The 21,029-nt window shown below is 41.0% G+C and overlaps 1 protein-coding gene across 1 annotated transcript in view; it reads right to left on the bottom strand.

The window, feature by feature from the left end:
• Positions 1–21,029, bottom strand: part of EBF2 (EBF transcription factor 2) — a 203,689-nt gene that overhangs the window by 66,590 nt on the left and 116,070 nt on the right. The window contains exon 7 of the mRNA NM_022659.4: positions 160–241. Within this exon, the coding sequence (NP_073150.2) occupies positions 160–241 (82 nt within the window). The remainder of the gene's footprint in view (positions 1–159; positions 242–21,029) is intronic.

Below are 21,029 nucleotides of genomic sequence, written 5' to 3' on the forward strand. Positions count from 1 at the left end.
CAATGCTAGTGGCTGAGGGTCATCGTTTACCATTGTCTTTTTTATTGTTAGGAGTAGCAGTGAATAGTAATTTTTAAAGAAAAAGAAAATAAAAAGAGTGAGAAGGAGAGAGAAAACAGGATGACTTATTTAACAGGAAAGATCTGCAGGGCCCCTTACCTGAAACCGTCTCATGTCCCTTGGGTTTCCTGCTGTTTTCAAACAATTCTGATTGCACTTGAGGAAAAATTTTAAAAAGAATCTGTGAAGAGAAAGCGATGTGTTACATTTTTCAGTAAACATTTTTAAAGGGAGAATATAGCTGCATTCCATTAGATTTGATTTGACAGCGATTCTATTTCAGATCTGGGGAATTTCAACCTGCCCTGCCTGTGAAGGAACACTGCTGACCCTCTGCAATTTGCAAATTTGGATGTTTTCAATCTCAAGCCCAGCACCCGCTTCCCCATCACTGTGGGGGATTGTTAAGTGGTTCACAAGGTGGGCTTTGGTTTGTACACTGGCCCCCGGAGTTTGTAGAGCACTCGTTCTGGAAAATTTTTTTAAAAAGGCTTCAAATGCAGCAGTGACCCCTGCTGTACAGAAAGTCTTGCTCCAGGGTTAAAAATGGCAGGACCCGGCCCCAGAATCCCAGGGCGTCTCGTCTGTGTGGCTCTCCACTGGCCCCAGACACCTTCATGCTCATACGTGAAGGTGGCCTGATATATTCAACTAATGTTTACAAAATCAGAAAATGATATGTTATCTTCCAAAGACAAAGTCCATCTGTGCAGGTATATGCCAGAGTTTTTATGATTAATAAGAAGTGTGAATATCCTCTCAGTTCATGTATAGATTATTCAGAGAAACATGAAAGCACAGAATCATGGTCTGAGGTTAGCATTTGTCATATATATTTCTTGAAGCCAATATTCTCTCTTAAATGGCCTATCTGTGCAATTTTAAAATTGGGCATCTTTCATCAGGCAACTACGTTAACCAAGAAAAATGGCAGAAGTGGCCTTTTCAGCAACTCACCTAGTTAATGTTTGAAAATTTGTTTCAAAATACAGTAAGTTTTTCATTTATTTCACTTGCAGAGTCCTTTCCCTTAAAAAAAAAAAAAATCCAGCTTTTGCAGTGTTAAAGTCCCAGGTGAGCTAGGCCTATTTCCCTTTCTGTTACTATGACAACGAAATTTTACCGCAGTCCCAAAGTCCCTTCAGAACTCTCACATCCATGTCTTGAATTAGAACTTTAAAGGAAAAGATATACATTTTCCTCAGGATTTACAAACAAAAATAAGTAGAAATCAACAATGCTTCCAAAAATTCTATTCTAAAGCAATGGTTGGTGAAATGTTCTCATTGCGACGTTCTGATTTTTATTTTTTGTTTAACAATCACACAAAAGAATTAGATAGCTCTCCAATTAAATGTATTTATCACTTTAAAAAACTGATGAGTAGATAAACAGTAAATGATAAAGGAGGAGAGAAGGGGAATTGGCTTTTCAGAGTATTTTCTGTGTTTGAGGCTCTTTTACTCTGTTTGCTGGAAATATTTGGCCACATGCTCCCATGAATAAGGTTGAGTGTGAATTTGAAAGCAACAGCTAAATATTTTTTTCATGATTTTATAACATCTGCTTTTCACTTCTCTCTTTCAATCTTTTATAGGGTGGGTGGGAGGTTGGGCTTTGCTTCCTGTGCCCCGGAGGTGTTGGGGTCTTTATGGAAGAGACCTGCGGAAGGATAAGGCAGAGAAAATGTTGTGCGTGGCTGTCCGACCTCAGTGTTCAAATTCACAACCTGCCGCTGCTTTCTGAACGGCAGTAGCATCTCTGCCCGGGTCGTCAGAGTGCGTTAGAAAGGAGAATTGCTTTTATGTAAGTAAAGACTGATCAGAATTCAAACATTTTATTTCTTGAAGGGTAAACATCCCCTCCGTTTGTACACTCGTAGCAGAGTCAGCCACGGACACTCACAATGCTTGCAAATATTGCCTTTTCCCACTTGTGTGTGTTTCTGAACAATAGCCCCCGCTGCACCCCACACTGGCCCTCAACCACTCCCAGCGGCAATTTACGACTTACATTTTTCCCCTGCTAAACCCAAATGGAGGGCTTTTTCTCATTTAGTCCTTGATTTCTGGAAAGTTTTGCCACAACTGTGCTCCTTGTAATGTGTTCTGTGTGTGTTAGACTACCCCCACTCCCCGCTCCAAAATGTATCTGGTGAAAACATTAATGTTCATGAAGGCATTATTATATGAATGGTGTGGTAGGTGGAAAAGTGCAAAAGAGATAAATGTTTACATAAAATCAAATTGATTTAGGGAAACATGGAGCCTGCTGAAAGGCTTTATTCATTTTAAATTAGGACCCTTAACAGTGATTTGGATGGAAAACACCTAGTTTGACTCTTTGCTTGTCTGGGGGGCTGAATTTGTAACCTACACAGCCCCGTGCACTCTGAGGACTTAGCACTGGGTTCACGAAGGAGAAGGGGAGGTTAAGTGGGAGGAGGAAGAGGGAGGTGAGTGAGAGAAGACAGAGACAGAAAGTTCTCTTGCATTACATAGTATCTTCTAAAAGAAGGTATTGCTACTTCTAAATGGCTTGCACCAGAAATTATGGCCTGGATTTTTTAATATATGGATCTAAAAATTAATTAAAAGAAATTCTGGGGCTTACTGACATCTCCATTTTTTTTTCCTCTTACTTTAACTGGTGTCTTCTGGTTCTCCGCCCTCCACCCTCTCCATCCACCATGCTCAGGGTCTTGATACAAAACCTTCACTAATCATACCATCCATTTAGCCACGGGGTAACTTACAGGGAACAAATTCTCTCCAAATCCCCTGGGTCTAGATCCCTCCTGAAGCCAGAGCTGCCTGGAAAATGTCGGCACTCTCCACTAAGAAACGGGAAACCCAGATAAATTATGAGATTCAGACCAAATGTGCAGATTATCAGGATGAAATCTATTTCCACTTTCTCCAAACAATGTTGACAACGTGAATATCATAACCACGGTGCATGCTACACACGACAAAGCTTCTGATCCCATTCCTTAAGAGCGAACACTAACAATCACAGGTTTATCCTCATGTTACAGGATGAAGAGGATCGGAAAGAGGAGTCAACATGGCAACTCAAACCTTCAGATGGCAATCCGGTCCCTAGGTCAGTGGGGCAGGAGAATGTACCAGAGCATTCCTTTACTCTACAGATCCATTGGAAATGCCCCAAGGGTTAGCCTTGACCTGTGGCTACCAACTGACCACAGGACCAAGTTACCTCACATTCATTCTCTCTTAACGAAGGAGTTGAATGGGATCTGTAGGGTTCTTTCTAACATTAATATTTTATGACTGCAAAGAAAAATGTACAGAGTTGAGAACCTTCCTTCCAAAAAGGGTTACAGTGGGGAAAGAAACCACTGAAAACAAGAGACCATGACTTATTGAAACCTGAGTGGGTGTGGCAGAGGTGGGAGTGAGGGTTTCTGAGACGTAGGTGAAACCCACTGAGATAAAACTGTGAAAAATAAATAAGTGGGGACAGCTGACTGGTGGGAAATAGGACATCCAGGGTGACGCCGTGCCCAGAGTGGGCGGTGCCCTGAGGCTGATGGGCAGATTGTTGGGTGAGTTGCACTGTCCCTTTAGGACCCTTTCTCTCTGCTTCTGAGGCAGGGAGGGTGCTTCAGGAATATCACAGATCAGAGCCACCTACATAACCTCTAACAATCCTGCACGGTCCAGCAGCTGAAGGGTACAGGGGTCACGGAGTGGAGGGAAACACAGTTTGCTGAGTAGCCACTCTGCCCAATACACAACACTGTATTTCATTCTCACAACAACCCCATGGGTGACGAATCATCCTACGGCTGGGAAAAACGAAGGCCTCAAGAATTTAAGAAACTTGCCAAAGATCATAAGCTTGTAAGTGGTGAACACAAGGATTGGAGCCTGGATCTTTGTGGCAACAAGCTCCATGTGGTGTTGCATGTTTCCTGCACCAATGACACTGTGAAGATTGCTGCACAGCTGGGTGAATATACTAGAAACCATCGCATTATACACTTTGAATGGGTTTCCTTTGTAATATGTAAGTTATATCTCAATACACCTGTTATTAAAAAAACACTTCAAAATGGTCTAAAAATGGCACACACACACACACACACACACACACACACAACAGGAAGAATAAATCAGGAGAAAAAAAAAAAGTGAAAGATTCTTGCTTCTTGAAGAGACTGCAGTGTCCCAAGTTGAAATCAGTAGTCAAAGATAGACATATGGAAACATGGAACTAAATGCTTAATATTGAAAACTGCTGAATTCATTTATTTACTCATTTGATCAATATGTATTGTGCTCTGTGTGCCAGAAAGTTCAGGCACAGTGGCAAGCAAAGTCCTTGGCCCCAAGGATCCCCCGACCAAACTATTCAAATACGTTTCTCCAGATTCTGAAATGAGTCTGGAGACCCCTGAATCTATTACTGAATACCCTCCTTTCCAATCTCTAACATACTGGAATATCCTGTACTATTCAGGAATACAGTAAAAGTGTGTAGGTGGCTTCCACATGTCTTCCGCCATCCCACCCATCTCAAACGAGATGCACAAATACAGTGCAGAGTTAAGGTTCCGTGGTGGGGACAGGAGGCTTGAAATCACAGGAAAGGTAACTACTTAATATTCTTGCCAGACTCTGGAATTCTCATCAATGGTCTAGCACAAAACCCAGCACAATATTTCTCCAGGATTTATGGAAGAGGCCATTCAATTTACCTCCAAATTGGAATACAAGATCTAGTTCCTCCTTAAAATTTTTAATACAAAAGAAGTCCATAAGGCCAGGTGCGGTGGCTCACTCCTGTAATCCCAGCACTTTGGGAGGCTGAGGTAGGAGTATCACGAGATCAAGAGATCGAGACCATCCTGACCAACGTGGTGAAGCCCCATCTCTACTAAAAATACAAAAATCAGCTGGGCGTGGTGGCATGCACCTGTAGTCCCAGCTACTCAGGAAGCTGAGGCAGGAGAATCGCTTGAACCTGGGAGGTGGAGGTTGCAGTGAGCCGAGATCACGCCACTGCACTCCAACCTGGTGACAAAGTGAGACCCCGTCAGAAAAAAAAATAAATGGGAATTCACATAGAAGGAATGTGAACTTAGTAGTAGTTAACAGCTACCATTATACAGAACCTGTCTGTATACAAAATAATATGCAAAATGCCTTTCACTCTGAAAACTTAGTTCCTTACTCCCTTAAAAAAGAATCTAATTCTGCCTACCCTGGAAACAACTTCTGCTATGATAATGGCCACATTTTATACATCACAGGGATGAGAACACCCCAGGCTCTCCAAAGACCAAGAGAGGGGATGCTGTATCTGGTTCTCTTTCTCTGCCATGATGGTCACATAAGCAGGCTAGGTCACTAAAGGCTGAGTCAAACGTACAGTTGATATGGCCTCACAGACCACATAGGGACTTAAACACGTGTGTTCATTGATTTTGCAGAAGACACTTTCTGTCTGGATTAGCTGTTAAACCTCCTTGTTTTTAGCCCAATAAATTAAAATACAATTGAGTTTCATTGTTTGTGCATGCCTCTGAAAAGGAGATGGCCCATTTCCCTTAAAACACTCTCATACCATTTCTGAGAACTATGCAATACAGGGACAGGCTGGGTCATAGAATCACATTTGAAAGGAATGGGCAGTTGCCTCTCTTCTTCCAGGATCCTCTCCACAAGTTTACATCCTTTGGGCGATTAGGCAATCCAAGCTCTCACACCAGACTGAGAAGCCTACTGGGTGGCCACACCCATGAGTTCATTTTCTCACTCTGAGAATGGCCCTCATAGCAACTCACTCTGCTTCGTATGGTAAGAAAACTCGCAAGTGATTGCTTTCCACTTGAGACCAGAGAAAATCTTAACGGTGGTGTTCCAGTTGTAATCTAGATCTTAACTGGAATATCTTCTTTGACCCTTCCAACAACAGAGAATATTCTTTCCTCCTTCAAGATCCCCCAGCAGAGTCTACACCCAGGCAGCCCTAGGGAAGGTGAAGGTTAGCAGTGGGACCCAGCCTTGGCCTGGAGATGAAGTGCCCTGGATACATCTATTGGTTGTTGAGGTGTTAGCCCAGGCTACAAAGGGCCCTGAAGCTTTTAAGATCTTGTGAAGACTCTGACTAAAGTCCACAAGAATGAAAAGACTCCAGGAGGTCAAGCTCCCAATGGGCTCTTGTTACACCCTACAGTAACTTGGTGATGACGCATCTGAGAACACTTGGCTTAGTATTTGAGATCTGCTTGGCAAGATGGTGGCTAGCACAAAAGCCCAAGAAGATTCAAGGAAAGGAAAGATGACTTAATAGTTTTGACTTACTGGCTTCTTTAGGCTTAAACGAAATGAAGTTTAAACTCATTTTTGTAAGCTGATGTTCTACCGAATCCATTTAGTTAAACAATCCCTCAAACTGTAAAAATAAACACATGAACAGAAGAGGTATAGAATCTTTAATCTCCACAGACATTCCTAAGGCAGGGACTTATTACCATTAAGGCTTGTTCACCCAGATTATTTCAATAAAAGCCCATTTAAGATCTGAAAAATTTAACTTTACAGAAATGTTTTAAGCAATAAATTTTCTTATTTCCAACTACACTCAACTTCTCAAATTCCTCTTGCCTAAAAGACTATGATGAAACAGTAATTATAATTAATAATAGCCTATATTCATTGAGCTTATATTATTTGCCAGGTATGATTTCATGTAATCTTCTCAACTTTGGGAGGAGGAAAATTAACATCTCCACCTTACAGAGGAGATAAACAAGATTCAGAAAGGTTAAATGACTTGCCCAAGTCAAAACAGCTAGTAAGCAGAAAAAATAAGAGTGGAAGTAGTCTGTCTGACTCTTAGCAAAATGCTGGTCTGTTGGGAGCTTGGCCAAGCTTTGGAAAAAAAAAAAAAGGCTGAACATGTTGCCACGCGGCACTGTTTCACAGGACAACTGCCTTACTGATCCACATGGGGGATCCTGTCATTGTCTTCCTCTTCTGCTGGAATAAGAGTGGAGTCCTTCATGTTGCAAAATAAAACAAGCAAACAAATAAAAATGTCTACCATTCCTATCAGGGAGTGCACTCTCTAGAAGTTCTGTGACTATTTTAGAGGACGCAAAGGAAAAGATAAATAAATCTATCAGATATTCAGAAAACAAAACTTCTCAAGAACCCAAATTGTCCAAAGAGATGGCATAGCCCAAATAGCTTCAGCCTTTTGGAAAAAAAAAAAAAAAAAAGGTTACTCAAGTGCATGAGGAAGATTCAGGACCATTTGTCTATGAAGACGATGGGAGGGAAAAAGCTGAAAATCAAACGTGGAATGAAAGAAGTTGAATTAAATCTTGGAAAACATTTTTTGGGAATCAAGTCACCAAGGCTAAATTTTGGAAGCATTTACCCAAGGGACAGAGCAGGATCTCCATAATGGAGATTTTTAAATAGACCAGCAAGCTAATGCCTTTGGTAGCAGATAATTTCAGTCCAATATGCGGCAGCTAACTGGGGTGTCCATACCAAGCCCACGTGATTTCATAGCTTCTACAGTGGCAATGATGATGATGATTCAATTTTTACTGTAAAAATTAGGGACTTTCAGTAACAATTAAAGACCTTATGGCCAGACGCAGTGGCTCACATCTGTAATCCTAGCACTTTGGGGGCCGAGGCAGTCTGATCACTTGAGATCAGGAGCTTGAGACCAGCCTAGTCAACATGGTAAAACCCAGTCTCTACTACATATACAAAAATTAGCCAGGTGTGGTGGTGCACACCTGTAATCCTAGCGACTTGGGAGGCTGAGACACGAGAATCACTTGAATCTGGGAGGCGGAGTTTGTAGTGAGCCAAGATTGTGCCACTGCACTCCAGCCTGGGCTACAGAGTGAGACTCTATCTCAAAAAAAAAAAAAAAAGCAAAAAACCCAAAAAAAACAAAAAACAACAACAACAAAAAAACACTTTTCAAGGCCAATAGTGAGGACTAGTTATTCATGCAAAGTGTTTGGGTAAATGCCTGGTACAAAGTAAGTCTGCTTCTTCACCTTTTGCTACACATACGTATGATCCCTTCCCATGTATTGCCCCTTTCTCCCCCACCACATTTTAAAACAGCCCATTTTCCAGACAAAATTATTCCAGAAGGAGCTGTCACGAATTTAAATCTGGTCCTCTCTGCCCTGCTTATCTCTCCAATATTAATATATACTACACTGGAAGAACTTCCCTTAATTTTTAAGAGAGAGATAGTAAAAGAAAAAAAAACCACACATGTCATTAATCCACTCTCACAGATAGTAGGGGAGAAAACAACATCAAAAACACAAAAAATGGTCGATGGGAGTCCTCATTCCTGTTTTCAGTAAACTCTGGCCAGCAAAAAATTCAGAGCTACCCACACAATATGCTGGCTTCTGACTGGCAACAGGCCCCATCGAGTCACTTTCTATTCCATGCTCAAGTCCCTGGAAGTGGCATTTCAGTTTGGCAAGAGCTCCTTCATCACTCAACACACTGCCTTCTGAGTAGAATCTGCTGCATTCATTTAGACATCAGGAAGGAGCTACTTCCCCCACTATGTAAATCTGACTCCCTGACTCCATACCGATAGACTTCATTTCAAAGGAATTTCATTATTTCCTCTGAAGGGAATGTCTCCCATAGCCCAAGTGGCAAGCAGTTGACTGTAAACGGCTGCTGAAGTGCAAAAACAAGGGGCCAATTTGATTCTCCACTTATTTCTGATTGGTAACTACAGTTTCTGAGGACCTGGGGTTAGATGTTGTGAGGTTTTTGTGTGTTTGTGGTTTGGGGTTTTTTTTTTTTTTATCCCCCCTTCTATATTCAGACGCATCTTCATTCTGCTGAATTCTATTCCTCGACACCATGAGGCTCACAGGGAAAAAAATCTCTGAGGAAAAGTCCTTGTTTTTGTACTCAGATAAAAATCTGACACCATTAATGAAAATAATAATTGAACTCTTTGGGCTTGAATTGGAATGAGACACACACTAAGAGCATGTTTGTAATTCTAATTGTTCTCACAAAATGTCTTTGGAGGGCTCTTTGCAAAGCACAAGTTTCCATCCTTTCCTTTTTGGTAAAAGAAACAACCCATGTCCTCTTCTTTGCCCTTATCCTTTCCTCTGTCTTCTCATCCAGAAAAGAAAAAAGAACTCAGCAAAACTGAATCATATTATGGACTTCCTTGAGAAAAAAATCTTTCCGTGAGACTTCAGAATCAGAATACAAATCTATTTCCCTTGCCAGTACCATGACTCTCGGGTGAAGGAGAGAAATGAAGTTATTAGTCAGCCATCAGCTTAATGGGTCCTCACCGTCCCATTTCCTCAGCACCCCTTCCCCATCCTTCCCCTCCCCCTCCCATTCTCTGCCCTCCCGGCAGAGCTCATCTATGCTAGGCTGAGCAGTGAACACCAATTACACCCAGAGCCCTTTGCTGCTGCCTGGTCCGCTGGTTTTACTGTTTTGCCAGATGGTTGAGGCCAATGTGTAAAACTCTCTACCCTACCATTAATTCATAACTCGGTAATAACTTTCCCACGACTCCAGGAAATTGAAATGGAGTGCAAATGTGGAGATTTGGAAAGGGAATCAAGGTTGGACAACTATTTCACACCTGCCAGAACAGATACCAGTGAGACAAAAAGAAACCCTTATTTACCCAGGCTGGAGCATTACTTTCCCTGAACTAAGGCAGAATGACGCATCATGCAATGTTGGAGAAAGTGGCGGACAAAGTTCAGAGTGTGGGCTTCTCCTGGCATCATTTTCTCTCTGCAGTTTTCAGCTTTCTACCTATCGCAACTATGGGTTCACTCTCCAATGACCTTGAGATTGTGCATCTATGTAATGTTATATTCTTATGACAGATTCATAGATTAGCAGATATGAGTGCATTCTCTTGCTAAGACAGGACACCATCCAATGTTTGTTAGCATCATTAAACTAAAACTGACTTTTCACCTGCTCCCATACCATATGCAGCTGCAAATTTCTAAATTAAACTATGAAGCCATGCATAAATTTACATATATTACAGACTAGCCTCTCCATTTAACATGCAAATGTACTCCAATGTTTCAGAACACCTTCTGTCGCTAATTAATTTGCTGAATTATAATTAGACTAATCCTGCATAATTAATAAGCACAGATTTTTTTTTAATTTGTAAGCAGCTTGAGGAGATCATTCACTTCCTTCTATAAACTGCTAAGTAAGTGTTAAAAAAAATCTGGAAAGAACATGTGTGAAAAGGTATGTTTGATGTCGCATACAAACTCAAACTAGCGTGGAAGATACAGAAGTCAGTATTGATAAAGGTACATATTTGAAGCCAACATTCAAACAATCAAAAAAAAATCATATCCAGAGGATGGGGTCTAATTCTCCCTTTGTCTCCTTGTATATAACGTTTTATTCTTTGCCTTCTATCCGTCGGATCTTCCAAGATCACAGAGGCGGGAAAGGATTAAAGTAACCGTATGTTGTATTAGGAGAGATAATGATATTAACACTCCACTGTATATCAAAACACTCTGTGCATGCTGGGTGCTTATAAGCTCCTTTGATGGTATTTGGAATCATTTTCATTTTGGCTGCCAAAAACACCCGAGATCCATCTAGTGGAAACAATTAAGTTCCATTAGGACTGTATCCATTCGGTAATTATTACAATGAAGGGTCCCTCTTTCATGCTGGAGAGTGGAGTCTCAAAGAAAAGTATGCATCTGTGCACTGAAAAATGTGAAAACTATAGAGTTTTCCAACCAAGCATCAAGCTTCATTTTGACTCCCAAAAATAAACCAGGATCAGCAGAGCTCAAGGTTTGGGTAGGTCACTTGTTAGAAAATTCAGAGCAGGGTGGGAATCTGGAAGGGCAAGGGAAGCTTAGTGGTCATGCAAGTTGAGGAAGACTCCAGAAAGAAAGTAGGAAATGCATGTTCTGGCAAGGAGAAGTCAGTCAACCTTCAAAGAGAGGAGAAATATAATTTTAGAGCAAATAGAGAGCTCCCTGGCCCTTCCACTCAGCAAAGTCACTATACTATCAGTGGCCAAAAGATTAAGTCAAAAAGATGAAGCCATTTGAAATGTGTTTAGCTTTCTATTAATTCAGTTTTTTATAGTGAGTCTATAAAAAGAAATTTCTGAAGAATGGAAACCATTTTCCCAGGCTCATTACTGTCTTAAATACACCTTCTCAATACCAGGCAGCCAAAAAAAAATTTTTTTTTAAACAAAGCTACAAGATAAGCTAGCTTGGGAGTTGAGAAAGTTGAAAAGTACACCAGCACCTCGGAGGCTGTTGGCCAAAGCCGGGAGCAGATGCCAGGGGTACTGTTTCTGCTTCTTCCCTGAAAGATGTTCATGTGAGCTGCCTTCTCTTCTCCTTATCTGGAAGGAGAACCCAGCAACCTCCTGGGGCTATCTATTGCAACAACTAACTCAAGTGCAAAAAATATTTTGAAAGCACCTGGAAAAGGCTGTCACAGGTTTTCAGAGTTAAGCAATGCTATTACTTGGGTAGTTTGGAAACATAACACTTTTGGAGAGTTTTTATATGCCAAACCATAGCTTTTGCATCAGTACCCATCTAAAGAGATTAAATGGTTCAGGAATTTTTTTTTTTAAGCCTCAAGGAAAAAGAGCTTTCTGTGTTTCTAGTAGTTTCTTGAAGGAACATGACAGCAGCTGGAATAATAAGACTAATAAGAGGCCAAAATTATTTTCTCTCAAAAGAATACACAAAGGGTCATGGAAATCTTTAATAATGTCCTCACCTTTCAGGAAAAATCATTTGAAAGTATTATGCTTTTCTTTCAGATTCCTCATATCCCGTTTTGAGTGGTTATAATAGGAGGCCTGGTTTCTCTGTAGTCAGGAACATGTGCACGTCTGTTTTTATAAAGCAAGAAAGTGCTTAATGGCTAAACTCACAGGGTGAAATGGAGGCTTTCGCCACTTCCTCCATAAAGCACTGGCCTGAGACTAGAGCAGAATTGAGAGTCAGAAAAAGCTAGGCAGGTCCTTCAAGCAAGTCCCACCTATTGACAGGCAAGAGGTTTTGCTGAAGTTGGGTTTGGGGTTGTGTTTTGTTTGGCTATTTTCTTCAGCTTTGCCTACCCAATTTCAAACTATGTACTAGTGAGAGCAGGTGGAGAGAAAGCGATTGTGACCCACGCAGAGTTAGTTAGCTTTTGAGTAATTCCTAATCAGCTATGAGGGAGAAAGAAATTTGGTGGCATTTAAGCAATAAGGTGTAAAGCAGTTAGTTAACAAAGCTGCACTTTGGCTAATGGATTTTTTTTTTTCACCTAATATACACATTCCAGGAAATTTCTCTAATTTTATATTTTGGCAGGAGGATTTTCCTCCATTCACCTCACTTCTAGTTTATTCTTGTGATTCAGTCTCTCTGCCTCCTCCTTTCTCACCTATCTTTGCTCTCTCCCAAGTTTCCAAATTCTGAATGATGTAGTGTGCTTTTTTTATGTGCTACCTAAAAGTTGGTGGGGGTGGGGAGCAGTAAATTGGGAAGAAGGGATGACTGAAATAGAGAAACCGAGATGGTAATTACAGCTAGGCTCAATTTTATCTGAAAACTATGGTGGCTTGCCTCCATTTCAGCCATGAAGATCCACATTTACAGTACATATAACCTTTGTGCCAAAAAAAGGAAAAAAGAAAGCACCTGTAGGCTAACAGGTAGCAGTTGGTACCTATGGAATTATCATTGGCTATTAACACTGGGTCAGGTATCATATTAGCCACTTTCAGATGCATTTGCCAAACCCATGTAAAAATATAAAACCAGGTATTTCAATATTCTGTCATTCCCTAAGCAAAACAGATTTTCTTATATTACTCATAGTAGAGTCAGCCGACTTTCATTAGAATTTTTTTAACTTTCTTTTTTTTTCCTTAAAGAAGAACTAAACCTAGATGATATAAAAGAGAAACTGGGACAAAAATCAGGTCAAGAATTTGATACAAAAGGCATTCAGATAAGGCTAATAATATTCCCGAGTGTAGTCAACAGAGCAGACAATGATCACATCGGTCTAAGCTCTACCCAACCCCTATATCTGTACAAGATTCCAGGAATCAGGAATCAGTTATTTGTTCTTTTTGTCATTCAAACTTTATTGAGCCTAAAGCCTCTATTAACTCTATGGGAATTATCAACTTTTTGGAGGTTTCCACATCTTAGTACCAAAAATGAAATCTTTCTTTTAAATATACCACAAGAGAATGTTATCTGTTTCACGTTTCTTTATTCTCTGTAACCCCATTGCATTTTGTGCTAACTCTGGTCATCTTGCAGAGGACACTACCTAATTAATTTTTACTTTGCTCCTAAGTAGATGTCCAGAATCTCTTCTTTCATTTTCTCTTTAAAAAATTGCTCCTCAAACGAAACGTCTCATGGGAGAACCAGAGCTTACACCAGACCTGAGCACGCTCCCATTGAGAACAGGCGCAGCCCCTGGGCACTGCTTCTGTGCACCTGGAATTTCTAATCTTTCTTCCCATGCCATATCACATTATTGCTCAGAAATATGCTGGATTCTTGGAACAAGGTGAAACTGAGCCACCTTGTTTCAAAAATGGAGGCTAGGCATGAAATCTCCCATCTCATTTGGAGTCACTAGGATTTCTCACTCCAGGTTCAAAGAAAGGCTCAATGTAAATGGGGCAGATTCATGGGACTCCCATAAATCAGCCCCACTTTGCTGAAAACCAGAACCTGAGTTTATGTTGAAGTTTCAAAAGTGCTTGGCTGAGCCCAGCCCAAACTTCAACTTTCCAAATAACTTCCAAACTGATGAGGCTGTTTTTGCTTAAAAAAAAAAAACAAACAAAAAAAACACCTGGTTTTATGTTTCACAATGTTTTATAAATCTGCATTTATAAATCTGCATAATTTCTAAAAATTAGCATTTATTTTAGGTACTTATTCCTACCTTTCATCAAATGACATTGATTCTCAAAGCCTGGTGTGGTAGAAATGTGTTTCTACACAGTACGTTTACTTAAGATCATATAATAAGGATGAGTCAAATAAGAAAAGCTTTCTTGAGAAAAAGAATGTGGGGCTTTTAGATATCTACATAGATCCTAAACTTTAAAATAGTTCAGCCACCCATTTCCTCTGCCAGAACAGATATCATTATTAAGTCAACACACTCACATCCATATATTTCATAAAAGGCAGGGTAACAAAAAATGTAAAAGTTGCATCTAGTCCCCAAAAGTTGAAACTTTCAGTGTCACTGGCTCTGTCACCTTCTACTGCCTTTGAAAGGAGTGCTGATAAACCAAATGAGCCCTCTCAAGCTCTTTTTGGAATGAGGCAGAGAATTAAATAAATGACAAAATGTTTTAACATCAGTGGTGGGGGAAAGGCCTAATTGACACGCTCAGTATCCAATAATCTGCAAAAGCCAGAGACCATTTTACTGACATGATTCTTTCTGACCCTGGAGTTTAGAGTTGGGTTTGTGGTTTCTCCCTACACAGTGAATAATGGAATACAACTACTAAAGGAAAAAAAAAAAAAAATTCATCCGTTGGAGAATCAGCAGCTGACCTGGAAGTAAAACATCTCAGCCCTTCACTCAGAGGCCACAGAGCCTGTTCTGCTTTCTCAGGGAGTTGCCAGGACTCAAGTGAGCAGCAGGACAGGGTCCGGAAGCATGGGAAAGAGACAGCCACAGGTCCCTCGGGAAGGCGCACCGTGGAGTCGCCCCAGCCACGCTGGGAGAAAGGCCACTCTGTGCAGGGATCTGACATCAGGCTCTCCCTGGCAAGCCCATAGGCAGGATAACCACTCCCAGAAATGGCCCAGAGAGTCCTGTGGCCCAACACCATGATAAGGAAATCATCTAGTTTCATACATGAGTCAGAATTTATGAGCTCCTCATTCAACCCAAATTGAAGCTACAATTCCACCATTCCTCCTGGTAGAACTCTGCCTTGAATTAAGACAGAACCTGAAAAATCAGGCCCGGTATTTTTGTTTTCTTTACCATCTCTCAGCTTGCCAGGGTGATCACATCAAAATCATGCAGAACACACAACCAGGCAATGATTCTATTGTAAATGTATACACATATATGTCTATAAAAAAGCAGATTTCGTCACTCCTAGTGATAAGCCTGCTTCAAGTTTTGTTTTTTTTGTTGTTGTTTGTTTTGCAATACAAGTTCTAAACTGATCAAAAGGTGTTCCTATCTCCCTGCTTTGTTAGCCAGGGTTGTGGGTACAGGAGCATTTTTTATTCAAGTTTGATAGAATTCAACCAAAGGGCCTAGTGAGGGCCAGGTCATGGTTTTTCACAATTTGTCCTCATCTGGAAGTTTATTATTCTGTTAGGAATATTTTCTAACCCAAGACAACAATAACAAAGCCTTTTTTAGTAGGCAAAGCTAGGCCAATTGACTTTGATCATTTTTTTAATGATAAAGCAGTTAGCAGATTAATTTTGTTCTTAGCTCTTTTAACCTGGGCTGAATGTTTATGCTTCTCCTAATGAGATGATGCATTGAAAAGTGAAGATAAATGTCATCTACTTTTCATGTGATCTATAAAATTAATCTCCCATGCTTATGTTAATACCGATAATGTAATGTAGGAGGCAGTGTGACCTAGAGGATAAAACTTAAGAGGAAGGCACTCATGTTCAATTACAGTTTATATTACTGACAATATTTTCATCTCTCTGTGTCTCACTTGCCTACTCTCGTCCCTCATACAAGTCCCCTCACATATCTTCCCTGTAAAATTGGGTAATGCCTCTGAGAGATGCTGGGAGAATTACTTAGGTGCTTTGGGAAACAGCTTAAAACACCTTTTAGAACTTTCTTGTGAAATAGCAGATATTGTTAATGTTCCTACCGTAAAATCAGCCTCTGGTAAGTAACCATGACACACTTAGCAATTGTCTTCCTACTCAGTAAAAGTGATCCTCCCCAGAGCTCAGGCAAGTGACCCTCCACCCACAGGGTTCTGTTTATTTCCAGAAAATAAATTACACGGAAGGAGGGCGCGATGGATGGTAATTAAGTCACCAAGTTAGGGAGGGATCAATGCTTACACTTTAGAGGTTAAACGAAAAGCTGATTACATCAGGAAGGAATCCATGTTCTGTATTCAGCTGTAAAATAAACTGGGAGTTTTGTGTTTGGTGTCTGAAACATCTTTGGAAACACTAAATCAATTTAATATCAATAATTGCCAGATATATGCTAGATTAAATGAACCAACACAGATAGCTTTGTTCGCAGAGAAAACAGGGCCAAATGGCTTTCATTAGCATGACTAATCCCGAAGTTCTGTGGTTTGATGATCAGACGTCTAAACCTGAATTTTGATTCTTGCAAATATATGATTTGGCACAAGACATTGCAAGTCCAGCTATTTCTGTACCTTTAACATACATGCTGAATATCAGAGAAGCCAGGTGACACTTAAAGTGCCTATATAGCTACAACTGTACCCACTGGTGCCCAGAAACACACCAGATGCACAGAAAATAAGGAAATCACTCTAACACAGGACTGAGCCTTTTCCCAGACCTGTTTTTGGGGGCTTTGGAATCACCTGCTTTGGTCCTGGGGAGACAGTCTTAACAGGAGTTTCAAAAGCCAGTGCTGTTCTCACAGCTCCCCAGCAGCTCTGTGACCCTGGTCATTTTCCTATTGTTGGGATTACAGAACCAAGCGGGGCACTACACTCAGGAGCCTGGTGGTATTTTCACCTCAGTCCCGAGAATATTTTTCTCCTTTTTTTGGAAATTCTGACATCTTTTCCCTTGTAACTCTTGCAATTTTGAAGAGTTATACTCATGACATATTTTATCCCTAAATAGTCCTGAGAACTTCAGAAAACCCGGGGTGCACAGAAGGAGCTGAGAGGGGTCATCAGAGTGACTTGTGAGGACAAAAACAGGGCAATGGGTCAAGAGTCTTGGGCTCCACCAAGAACCTGAGGTGCCTTACAGTAAGTGTATCATGCAGACATACAGCAAGGTGTGAACAGAGCACCTGAAACCTTGCAGAGGGGGCTCCGAGGAAATTATCATTTGTCAGCCTTTGTTTCTCTAATTCCTGAGTGTATGCTCTCACCCCCCAACCCACCATCACATTACTTCAGCCAATCGTCATGAATGCACTTCGGCTGCCTTTGTGCAGTGTGTGCGTGCATGTGTGTCTACGCATGTGTGTGTGTCAAAGCCAGGAACACAGAATCACTCTTTGGGGCCTCATCACTGGGCAGCCGAGCCTCTGGACAGTCTTCTTCGGAGGTCTGTGCAAACTTCGGGTCAGAGCAGCTGCCTGTGAGTCACGATGGGCTGTGGGGCCTCAAATCCCTTCACAGCCGATCTGGGGCAAAGGAAAAAGCATTCAGCTTTTTCATTTTCATAATAGGAAGATTTTTTGCAGAGCCCTTATAGCCCGTGTGGGGGAATGCTTTTTAAAGGTCAAATGTGACTGTCCCTATATTTGGGTTTGGAAATTCACAGACTCTGATTATAAATATTGCTGAAGTGCGACTGATATGTGCAGGTACCAGCCAATTCCTTGATATGCCCTCTTTTGTCTATTTCTTTGCTATCCCTCAGCCCCCAAGTCCCAATAGGTGTTCTAAAGAGTCTTGCCTCAAACACGTGGTCAGCTCGAAGGGCTTAAGGGAACTAGAGAACTATGAGTCCTTCTACCGGGAAGCAAGACCACCAGGTGAGGGCTCTGTGTCCCCAGGTACCAGTGGGCCACAATACAACATGGGAGGGAGATCTCGTTGCTCTCGCCGTATGGTGGCCTGGTTGAGAAGTCGAGGGTTTCTGTGTATTCTCTGGCCCTGAATCCAAGGCAGGCTGGCTCCCCCACTTTCACTGGTGCCATTGGGAAAAGAGAGTATTTTGGAAACATTGTGTCGGGCCTGGGATGTGTCTCCTCTCACCCCCACCTTTCTAATAATCTTCCCAAGTTGGCTAAGAAATAATAAACTATTGCTTAGATGAGATGATGATCAAGTCTCTAAGGAAATAGCTCAGAAAGGTGAAGACTCTTGCCTCTGTGAGCTGGACATCGGTTTTATACTTCGACAATGTGGATGTATCTTTGTCTGTATGCATCACCTTCTCTGACTCACAGTGTGCAGTACTGAGGGTGTCCATTTAGTCCAGAAAGTCTGCATATTGATCCCATCTCTATGACACTCATTGATTCCTCCATATGTTCCACTTTGTCAAAGTCCAGGCATAAAAACTCCCAGAAGCATGAGTCCTCTCCACATTCCCAGGCTCTTTCCTAAGAGATTTTACTACCATTCAACACAGACAGGAGTTGATTTCTCAGCAAGACTTTGAAAGTACATTCGAGAGTTCTATTCATCACCTTTGAGGCAACGTAAATTCACCAAACTGCCCTGAAGATCTGAGCAAAGGATCTCCAACAGATCAGATTATCCCCCTGGAATGAAGGAGGAGGTCCACATGATCTTTTCCGGGCCAGCAAGAGGATTCAGAAGTCCAAGGATTCCGTAGATGAAAGAGAGTTTCAGGATTGTGATGGTTAGTTCTTGTCAACATGGCTGGGTTCTAGCACCCAGTTACTTAATCCAACACTAATCTAGGTGTTACACTGAAGGTACATCTACAAACTGGTTGACTCTAAGTAGAGGGATTACCCTTGATAATGTGGATGGGTCTCATCCAATCAGTTGAAGGCCTCAATGGCAAAAACTGAAGTTTCCTGGAGAAAAAAAAAATTCTGCCTCAAAACTGGAGCATTGACTTCTGCCAGGGTTTCCAGCCTGCTGGCCTGTCTTATGAATTTCAGACTTGCCATCTCCCACCCCACCCCACCCTACAATAAGCCAATTCCTTATCTTGTATATATCTAGATATCATGTATTTATATATCTAGATATCATATATATTTATATATAATACTATCGTGTATGTTATATATATTATATACACATCATGTATATTATATATCATATATAATATACATGATATATATACATTTCCTATTGGTCCTTTTCTCTGGAGAACCCTGGCTGATTCAAGGACCAACAGGAAATTTCCACTCTAGAGAGAACTTCTATCACTATAGAAACTTGAAAACACAAAAGAACGTAAAACCACCAAATAATGTGGTCCTTTCTGCTAGGGTGGGCAACTCCTGCTGGAGTTCCTGGTGCACATTAAACCTCACAGGAGCTTCCCTCTGAGTGTTAGAAGAGGGGACAGGGGAGAGGATGGCAGAGGAGTCCTGTGATTGGCTTGGCTATGGCCTTAGAACACTCTTATTTGTATATATCATGCTAAAATGTACTCAGTTGGAACTTAAGTCCTAAACAGTGTGGGGTTTATATAATATTGTTATTATAGTGCAGAAATAATTAAAGTGTGTCAAGTTTTGCATTTTTTAAAAATCTTCTCTGAGAAATCCCCGACTTTTCTACAAGGATTTCATAACTCTAATAAGAAAGCCCTGTCATGAATAAAACCTGGCCCACATTGCCTCAGGAAAAGCCCAGAATGTATTTACTCCACTTGATTAAAATAGAAATATATATATTATAAAAAAGTCCATCAGATAAGGAACACGGCTTGTCTCCTCTCCTATCCTCCACACAAAGGTAGCCAAAACTTTGCGAATCTGTCAGAAATGGGTTTCCCCTAATTAAAAGGGAAAAGGAATAAATTAGAATCTGGTAAGAGTAAAAGGTTTTTTTTAGGTTGAATTCATACTGAAAAAAATTAGAAGTACAGCTAGTGTGGATTCCTGAGACATGTACCCACTCTCTTTAGACTGTTGCCATCTAAGGTGCACACGCTGGATTTCCACATGCTGCAGGAATTGAAGAACCTCTTAGAAACCTGGTCTTCATAAACTTAAGGCTTATCTGGGTTAGCTGCAAGAGACAGCAAGAGAACCCATGCAGATCTTTCATATGCTCCCATCTGACTCATTCCCTGTCCTCTTCTCCCCACGACCATTCCTGCCCCAACTTGGCCCAGAAACCAAATGTGAATTTTCTATTTCCCACCTCAGCACTAGTCCATGCCAGGACACCAGCTGACAATTTCTTGGTTTTATTGTCAATAGCTGTACCATGTGATCAATTACTGTCTTCACTTAGAACGAAGCCAGAGCCCAAGAATATTTATATTCTACCAATACGTGCCTGTTACAAGAGAAGGAAATATGAGTTATTAAGTTTAACTTTTTATGTGAATTCAGAGTTTAACAATGGAAATATGTACAAAGAAGCTTTAAATGAAGTATTTACCAACATTCCTTATACATGTCAGGCACTAGGCTACATGGGATAATGATTAATAATAAAATGATTTTTAAATGAAAAAAAAAAAAAAAAAAACCAGGGAAATGGAGAGGAGAAAGGAACTAGAGGACACCTCTTTCCACCAGGAAGTGGACCAGGCTTGGCCAAACTACAAACAGACCAGCAAGGAGTTCCTACTTGCTACACAGGAGGGCTCTAACATGCAGAATGCTTTCGAGGATTAAACAAAATCTCATGTATTAAGTGCTGACGCAGTGAGATGCCTCTATCTCCACACTCAATAACCAGGAGTTGTATTATATTATTATAATCAGTTCAAAAAGAACTATGCAGACAGATTTCAATGGAAAGTAATATTACAACTAATAAGAGTGAAGAATACAATTAATGCTTCCTCAGTGTTGAGCAGTGATCTGCTCATGTTGATTCATTTAAATACTCACGACAGTCCTGTGAGATATTATCGCATCAATATCCCTGTCTTACACAGACAAGGAAACTGAGGTTAAGGAACTTTCACAAGGTCACACAGCTACCAGATGGTGGAGACGGGATGTGAACAGGGCATCCTGGCTCCACAGTTTGCTTGTTTAAAACACACTGTCCTAATCCAACTC

Source organism: Homo sapiens, chromosome 8 (genome assembly GCF_000001405.40).
Source record: "Homo sapiens chromosome 8, GRCh38.p14 Primary Assembly".
Lineage (NCBI taxonomy): Eukaryota > Metazoa > Chordata > Mammalia > Primates > Hominidae > Homo > Homo sapiens.